Source organism: Homo sapiens, chromosome 3 (genome assembly GCF_000001405.40).
Source record: "Homo sapiens chromosome 3, GRCh38.p14 Primary Assembly".
Lineage (NCBI taxonomy): Eukaryota > Metazoa > Chordata > Mammalia > Primates > Hominidae > Homo > Homo sapiens.
Window position 1 is genome coordinate 146,917,199 of NC_000003.12, and position 9,232 is coordinate 146,926,430.

A 9,232-nucleotide genomic window follows, 5' to 3' on the forward strand; every position below is an offset into this window, starting at 1 on the left:
CAGTGGATACACACATTCCTCAAGAGTCCAAGACAGTGAGAGGATTCAAGACATTGAGAGATTGTTTGACCTTGCTTTGGGATGGAAATGGGAAATACCATAGGGTTCAAATTCAAGCCTTTTCTAATCTACCACTCAGAGAACCCTAGAGCATTCAAGAATGTGAGCAAGCATACATTGGATGACAACAGCTTTGTTTGAAAACTGGTTTTTGAACTGTTTTATTCTGCAGGCAAGATATTATTGTAGGAAAAACAACATCCCATTTATGATTCTTCTGATCTTAAACAATGCTCCAGGGTATCCACAGCATAACAGAAACATACATTCTGATGTAAAGGTTATATATTTGCAGCTGAACATCATCACACTCATTCAACCAATGGACCAAGGTGCAATAGCAGCATTCAAAGCATACATTTGCACAGGCTGTTGAAACAACTGAATGTGATTGAATGATCCTAGATTTCTGGAAAGGTTTACACATTCTAAATGTTATCCAGGACATCGCTGCAGCATAGGAAGAATTCACACAGCAATGCATAGATGGCATTTGGAAGAAAGTTTTGAATGCATATATGAACATATGCAAAAGCTTTAATATAGATTCTGCTGTTGATGAAATAGTAAGTAACAAGATATTAGTGCTTGGGAACCAGCTAGAATTGGATATTGATGAAGAGGATATTCGTGAGTTTGTTTGCACTGAGGCTGAAGAGCTCTGCAGTGAGGAGCTAATTGAACTAGAGGAAGAAAGAAGAAATTGAAGCACAAGAAGAAGTTACACCTGAGGCACCAAGAAAGCTCACAACAAGGAAACTAGCAGAGGCATTTGCTACTATCATCAGTGGCTTATGGGTGTTAGACAAAATGGATGCCAAGTATGAGGGACTCATAATTGACAGGCAGTTACAGGTGCTAATGCTTGCTATAGAGAAATATATAATGAAAATAAGAAAACTGTAGTCAAAATTTGGTATCGTCCTGAAGAACACTATGCCTGCTAATCCGTCAAGTATTGATGGCTTCTGTCAGCTATTCTCAAGCCTCATTCAAAGAGAAATTAATGACCCTGTCACTGTCGCATCCCGTCATTCGGCAATTAATTTTTATTCAATGCTTCAAACAATCTTCAGGAGCAGCGTGCTTTCAGCTGTGTACCTAAGTGGTGAGTACCCATACAACCATTCTGCTTTTCACTTTCACTACAGTATTTAATAAACTAAAAGAAAGATTCAATGATTTATTATAAAATATACTTTGTATTAGGTGACGTTACCCAACTGTAGACTAGTGTAAATGTTCTGAGAATGTTTAAGATAGGCAAGCCTAAGCAGTGATGTTCAATAGCCTAGGTGTATTAAATGCATTCTTTTCAACTTAAGATGAGTTTACTGGATATAACCCCATCATAAGTTGAGGAGCATCTGTACTATTCAGCAACAGAAAAGAGACAATTACTGATTCACATAACAATGTGAATGAATCCCAAAACATTATCCAGAGTAAAATAACCAAACACAGGAGTAAATGCTGTACGATTCCATTGATATGAAACTGTAACAAAATTAGTCCCTGGCAGTAGAAATCAAAGCATCAGTTTCCTGGAAAAGAAGATTGGTTGGAAATGAGTGGTGAGTGATTTTTTTAGATAATAAAATATTCTATATCTTGATATGAGTGTGGCTTTCAGAGGTATATATTTATTAAAACCCATTGGGCTGGGGCTGGGGGCAGTGACTCATGCCTGTAATCCCAGCACTTTGGGAGGCTGAGGTGGGCGGATCACTTGGGGTTACTTGGCCAACATTGTGAAACCTGGTCTCTACTAAAAATACAAAAAAGTTAGTCAGGTGTGGTCGCATGTACCTGTAATTCCAGCTACTTGGGAGGCTGAGGCACAAGAATCGCTTGAACCTTGCAGGCAGGGGTTGCAGTGAGCCGAGATTGTGCCACTACACTCCAGCCTGGGGAACAGAGCAAGAATCTGTCAGAAAAAAAAAAAAAACCCGTTGGAATATGAATTATAATTATAAATTATAAACTGTAAATTATACCTCATTAAAACACTACATTAAAAATATTTTAAGATCTGTCCTACTGTATTAGTTTTCTATTGCTGCTATAACAAATTAACACAAACTTACTAACTTAAAACAACACAAATTTATTATTTTATTGTGTTTAGGCCAGAAGCTGGAATTTTATCTTATTGGGCTACAATTAAGGACTGCCTTCCTTTCAGGAGGCTCTAGGGGAGAATCCATTTTTAGCTACTAGAGGCCAATCACATTCCTTGGCTTAATTCAACTTCAAACCCAGAAATGACCAGTCAAGTCTGTATTGCATCACATCATTTGGACACTCTTCTGCCTCTCTCTTCTACATTTAGGGTCTCTTGTGATTACATTGGGCTCACCTAAAATAAGGGTAGTCCTTATTTTAAAGTCAGTGGATTAGCAATCTTAATTCCATTTGCAACCTTAATTTCCTTTTGCTTTGCAATATAACACATTCACAGGTTCCAGAGATCTGGACACCATTTTGCTGGGGAGGATGTACGAAGGAGTGCTATTCTGACCACCCCTAGAAACCTAGCCATCACACCTAATATTGTTTCTATGAGAAAATAACAATTATTGAATAATCTGAGCCATTCAATCTATAGCCATCTGTTGAATGGTTACTATTACAAGACACTAAAAGAGTAATCCATAAATAACACACTTTCTGTGTCTCATTGACAATATTATACAAGGTATTTTCAGATATATTGTAAGCATTGTAAATTGCTAAATGAGGTTTGATACAGTGGCATGAACCAATAGTTTTCTGTATCCTCTGTTATATAGTAGACACTTCTATATTGAGGAAAAATGCTTTTTACTGTAGAAAATACTGGAGATTCAGATATTTATTTCAAGCACATACCTGAACATTAAAATTACTTATTGCTGTGAATGACTAGGAAACAAAAAAAGCAGCAGCCCTGCCTAGCAGGTATCATATTGAGCCTCAGGGTGAAGAACACTTTTGAAATCTTCTGACCATTGCCATCTCACTCATGCTATCAATTAACAAAACAGAGGTGGGGAGGTTAACTTAGCAGTTAGAGCTAATTCTTCCAAGATACATGTTTCTGTTTCTGTAAGATTTTCTTTAAGACATAGTCTTCAGATTTGTTCCACCTCATAGTGTTGAAGTCTAACTTTCCTTAAACAATATTACAATTATCCTTAGAAATGTGTCAGTAGACTTGATTTAACAGAGAAAAACAAAGTGGATCATTAGTTTTGTGTTAGTTAATAACTAACTTTATACCTTTAAGCCTTGAGCACAGTCCCTTGATTTATTATAAATAACCCAGAAACCTTTCATAATTTTCCTAGGCTATGCATTCCTGGATCCCACCCCAAAACATTCTAATTTAATTTATCTGGGTTCCAGCTAGTATATCAGGGTTTAAAAGGTACCCGGTGATATTTATCTAGTATTGAGAACTACTGTTTTAAGGTCAGAGTTAAGAACTACAGAAATAAAGCAAGAACATGAATGATTTGGCTAAAAAAAAGCAATCTGAGTTTACCACCCCAAGAGCTGTATTACAAACTTAAGCACTGTCCACAGCCTGAACAACTGGTATTTTTGTATAGTAAATTATATAGCCACATAGCCAATGTATGTCTGATAGTAAATACCTGATAGTAATCCCCATATATTTAAGTACATAATTATTGAATCAATCAACCTGTCAAGTATCATCACACAGTATTTTGTTCTTCAGTCATCTCAGGATGATTGAAAAGATATTAAGAATTTTAAAACACATTGATTTTTTCACATATTTTGATTCATTTAATGTTTCAGTTAAAAAAAATCTGAATTTTTTTTTTTTTTTTTTTTTTTTTTTTTTGAGATGGAGTCTCACTCTGTCACCAGGCTGGAGTGCAGTGGCGTGACCTCAGCTCACTGCAACCTCCACCTCCCGGATTCAAGTGATTCTCCTGCCTCAGCATCCTGAGTAAGCTGAGACTACAGGCACACACCACCACTGCCAGAGCTAATTTTTTTTTTTCACTTTTGGTAGAGATGGGGTTTCACCGCGTTGGCCAGGATGGTCTCAATCTCTTGACCTCGTGACCCACCTGCCTTGGCCTCCCAAAATGCTGGGATTACAGAATAGTCTGAATTTTTTAAAAAAATCCATGGCTCAAACAGCGTGTTAATGTTTGTTCCCATTTTTAAGTGTCCAAGATATCAAAGTGAGGTAGGAAATCAGCAGGACTTATTTTCTGAGCGATAATCATGACCCTGCCGATCAAAGCAGAATGCAGTAAAGAAACAAGCGGAAACTAGCAGATGGCGACAAAAGCAACCTCCAGTTGCCTTCACTGATTAAAGACCACCAGCGCTATTTTTAAACATAACTGTTTAAAAATGCCATGACAACGATCCAGAAGTTATCTTATATGGTTTCAGGAATTTCCCCACCCCTTTCCTATAAAATTCTGAAAACCAGCCCCTTAATTAGCATACAATTAAGAGTAAGGATAAATATAGCTGGCCAGCAATCTACCCGGACTGCCCCTCTGGACTGCTCTGTTTGGGTACACTGCTGGGGCTGCTGCTGCTCTGGTCTGTTCTGCCTATGGAGCAGCCACTTTGCTGTACACCGCTACTCCGGGCCACTCTGCCTATAAGGAAGCACTGCTCTGTGGGACAGTGATACGGCTGCACACCGCTACTCCCGGGAACTCTGTCTTTGGGTCAGCCCTGCTCTGTCTACGGAGCAGCTATTTTGCTGTATGCTGTTGTTCTAATAAACTTCTTTCTTTCACTGCTGGCTGGCGCTTGAATTCTTTCCTGAGTGAAGCCAAGAATCCTCCCAGGCTGAACGCCAATTCGGGATAAACCTGCATCCGCTGGATAACTTGATAATGAATTTTTAAATTAATTTTTTCACTTATTGATCCACTGTAAGTCCAAGATTTCTATAATGTTATAACAGATGCGGTAATAAATAGAAAACTATTTAGTGCTAAAAAATCGGTCGTATTCCTGGATAGAAATCTTTACAGGAAATTATTTGTTTGATTGTTTTGTTTGTTTGGGATGGGATGTCTACCTCTAAATTTTATTTGAATCTTAATATCAAAAAGTGCATGTGTCCCCTAAGGGAAAAATATTCTCAAACAATAGTGAGTAAGAAAACAGTTTGATTAGAAGTCTTAGTCCTCCTTTTATCCATAAGGTTGATTTGCCTTTATTCGTTGGATACATGTAATATGGGCCATTCCCTAATCTCCCTTAGATAATTATGGGTACTTTCCTAAGTAACTGTGCACCTGAAAAGGAGAGCTAATTATAATTTTCATGCACTGGCTCCAATAAAACACTGTTCTTGAGTATGCAGACCAAAACTTTTAACAATATTAAAGGCTTAAGGGTGGTAAACAGAATTCAAAGTAAATTAATCTCACAATCAGTTCTGTGTGGTCCAAGCCCCACTCTGAGGATAGCTTCATATTTCCTTTATTCATGGTTTGAATCACTATCACAGCGTATTGCAGAATTCCATACTGGCTTCCTGGTACATAGAGTAAAGGCTATTACAGTACCAAGTAAAAGCAAAAGCCACTGAGCCTCCCTTTTCCTAACACAGCAATAAGTGAAATATTGTAATATATGCATAAGGGTATTGAAGTGATTATTATTATCATTAAATATGATATGTATTAAAATATTTCTTTTTTTTTCTTCTCTTGTACACAGGAGATAATGGTGAGGGTTAGGTATGTGGCTCGCCTATATTTTGTACAATCTCACAAGAGAACCATGACAGAACTAGAGGAAAATAGATGCCACTCAGAGATATCAGACACAAAGAACAGTGATATCATTTTTATGTTTAGCTTTTGGACATGACTTTGGGTTAGCTCCCATTGAGAGGGAAAAGCCCACTTAAGATCGCATCATAGAAAAGAGTTATGTTCAGGGGGGCCATTTTAGAAATCATGTATTTTTTAAAAGAAAGTATGGTATGGGAATTTAGGTAGCTATTGTTTCTCACATGAATACATTTCTTTCTTTGCTTTTCAACAGGCTTGCACCCCTTGGACCTCTAAAGTGAGTTACATTCAGTAACAGATTCTTTGTCCTTGAAATTTCAGTATTATCAGTGATGACCAGGGTAAAAGATTGAGATTTAAGTAAGATTTGAGTTATCTAATAGTAAGAAACCAAGTAGAAAAGCCACATGTTACTATTGAGGAGATAACAGGAGAGTCTATGTCCTTGTCTTTAAAAAAATGCTTTTCTTGAATTTGGTGAGGTACCCCAATGTCCTTCTAATAAAAATCTCCTCTCATTTCTCTCTTATTTTTTACTTCTCTTTTCTTCTCAGTTTCTCAGTCATTTTCTGTTTCCTGCAACCGAAGACCCCTAAGTTACACAGAAATCAGATTTAAAAATACAGACTCAGACGAATGTAAATATTTTGAATTGAATGGAGTGAAAAGTGCTGAGACTCCTACCCATGTTCAGAGATATGAAAGTGGTGGTCAATGAGAAAGAATCTTTAAACAACCACAAGCAGTGACCGGTTGGAACCTGGGCCTCCTGAAGATGAAGTTCAGAGAGCAGGTGGCTGTTGTCATAGAACTGCTTAAATAGAATGAGGAATGGTAGGCCCACCGAGTAGAATGGCTACATCTGACAGGCCTAGTAATGAAATTGGAGACTGGAAAGCCCAGGCCTTATGGGTTTCAAAGCACAGGATGAAATTCAGAATCCTTGTGTGAGTGTACAGAACAGTCCCTTATTACTTGTAGCTATGCTGCGGAGCACACAGAAAACTAATTCCACGGATGCATTTTGCACCTTGCTGAATTATAATATTAGTTGAATTCACAAACTCTCATGTATGTGAAAGCTAAGGCATTAATTAAGAAAGAGTGGACTCGGTATAAAGTCATAATAACACTCTGGCATCCAATTTCCAGAATTTAAAATTATCTCTCTGCCTAAATAGCTGTGGGGTTCTAAATAAGTTACTCAAATTATATGTCTTACTTTTCATGGGGAATACTAACAATATTGTTAGTAGCATTATTTCATGAATAGCTATATTTTAAAGAATAAATTAGATAACCCACACCAAACACTTAACACAGTGCCTAGTACAAAGATAGTACTTGGATGTTAGCTAGTAATTCAAGTAAAATCTTTAATAATTTTCAAATAGATGAAAAAGAATTTGTATTAAGTGTATTTATCAAACGATTACTTACTCTGCTACACAATCTTCATGTTCAAAGAAATTTAATGCATATTTCTTACAATCAGAAATCTTCCAATTATTCTGGGAAGGTCTGAATAAAACTTGCAAAAATTTAAATGATAACATAGGAGAAATAGAAGGTCGAAGTAGTGAGACAAGAACTCAGTCATAAGGTTTTATAAGATTAAGTGCTCAATGAATGCTCTTGGAAAAAGGTGTTATATTTTTCTTAAATATCTTTTTTATCAAATGACTATTTGATCTACTGTATTTGAAGAGTTAAACTCATTTCTACATGTCTTATTTTTCTTATGTTCTTATAGCAAGGATCAGTCAGATCTAAATACTTGTTTCAGAACTGCACACTTTGGGTTTTGACATTTATTTTTTTATTTCCTAAGCCAGAAAGTGAATCTTTGAAAACTGTAAGACAATAATCCAAGTGGAAAATGCTTTGAAAGCTCTTTGTAGTTGGCAATAAGGCTTTATTAATGACAATTGTTCTCACATGATGGATGTACTTGCCATAATACCTATGGGCTTATACTGTGACTGTTAGTATTTCCTTGAACAATTCCCTAAGTGACCATATATAATTTAATACACCTAGCCTCCCAAAACACATTGTCTTGTGGATTTGTCAGTAGTGTATCTTAATGAGAAAAAATGTCCTCCTTAAATCAAATGTAAATTACTTTTTTAAAAAAATCTAACTACAGATAAAACGTACTTTTAAAAATATAATCTTGCAATACATTTATTAAAATTTTGTTAAATGAATCATATTTTCCATTGATTTGCACTATTATATTAGAGATGTGTTCCTATGGTAAGAAATTTGACCAAAAGTGAATATATAATACAACTTAGAAATGCAGAGTATTTTAGATTACATATTCAACAAGAAAACATTTTGCTGAAATAATATGTAAAAACATATCTGTAAAGTTTTCTGCATTCCTGTATATGAATTAGAAAAATAATACCTTAATCACATAGCTATTGTCGGGAGCAATTAAATAAGACTTTAAATGCTATAAATTTCACAATACTGTGCAATATTTTTATCATAATCCCCTTTACAAACAATATGGCTTATCTGTAGTTTGCCTTGCTTGCTATACAAATGCTCAGGTGACCATCTGGTACAAAATGGTGCTCAGAATCATTTACATCTCTCTTTTTCTTCTAAGTTATTTCATTATCTGTTTAGCAATAATTTCACATAAAGATAATAACATCTATTTTGCTTAATTTTCTATTGATATCTAGTTTCCAACAATATTTTAGCTTTCTATTTACTTTTAAAATGTGGTTTGCAACATAGCAAGTGAGTTCCTCTTTCAGTAAAGATCGAGGACAGAGAATTTGGGTCATCTCGCCTAAAGTGTGTAATAGCTAAAAAAATACCAATCTGGTTTCAAAGTGGAAAAAGTGACATAAAGATGTTGAGCCGACCCCTTCTCACTTTATTTCTATGGATCATGTCATCATTCTAATTCAAGTGTAACAGCAGAAGTTGGATTCTCTTCATGCTACAATCATATAAGAGATGTTGCTAAAATGTACACTTGTCATATTCCTTTAAATACACCCAGAAAGGATTTATTCTTTCCATTCTGTCTTCTCCATTCCACTACCATAACTTGAGTTCAGGGGGACTTTTCTCTCCCTGGACCATATATCCCAATAATCTAATATAACTACATATAACACCAATCATTTCACACACTAGATGCTGATCTAATCTTCTGCTCACCTCACTAATCTTATATTCTTGAAAACAACTCTAATCGTATTACTGCAAAAATATCAATAGCTCATTACTTAAGCAGTAAAATTTCAAACTCTTAAATCTACAAGTGAAGGTCTACTGTCATTGACCCCTGCTTTTCATCCAGACCCCAATTCTTCCTGACACTCCCATGAAACTGGAGTACTTGCTCTTACTTA

The 9,232-nt window shown here is 35.9% G+C and overlaps 1 long non-coding RNA gene across 2 annotated transcripts; it reads left to right on the forward strand.

Annotated features, from left to right (window-relative positions):
* The first annotated feature begins 4,724 nt into the window (after positions 1-4,724).
* LINC02010 (long intergenic non-protein coding RNA 2010) lies at positions 4,725-8,020 on the forward strand. Of its 2 annotated transcripts, NR_135560.1 has the most exons (3): positions 4,725-4,976; positions 6,103-6,126; positions 6,404-8,020. It is a non-coding gene; the product is annotated as a long intergenic non-protein coding RNA 2010 (long non-coding RNA). The 2 variants fall into 2 exon arrangements; NR_135561.1 differs by lacking the exon at positions 6,103-6,126.
* The last annotated feature ends 1,212 nt before the right edge of the window (positions 8,021-9,232 follow it).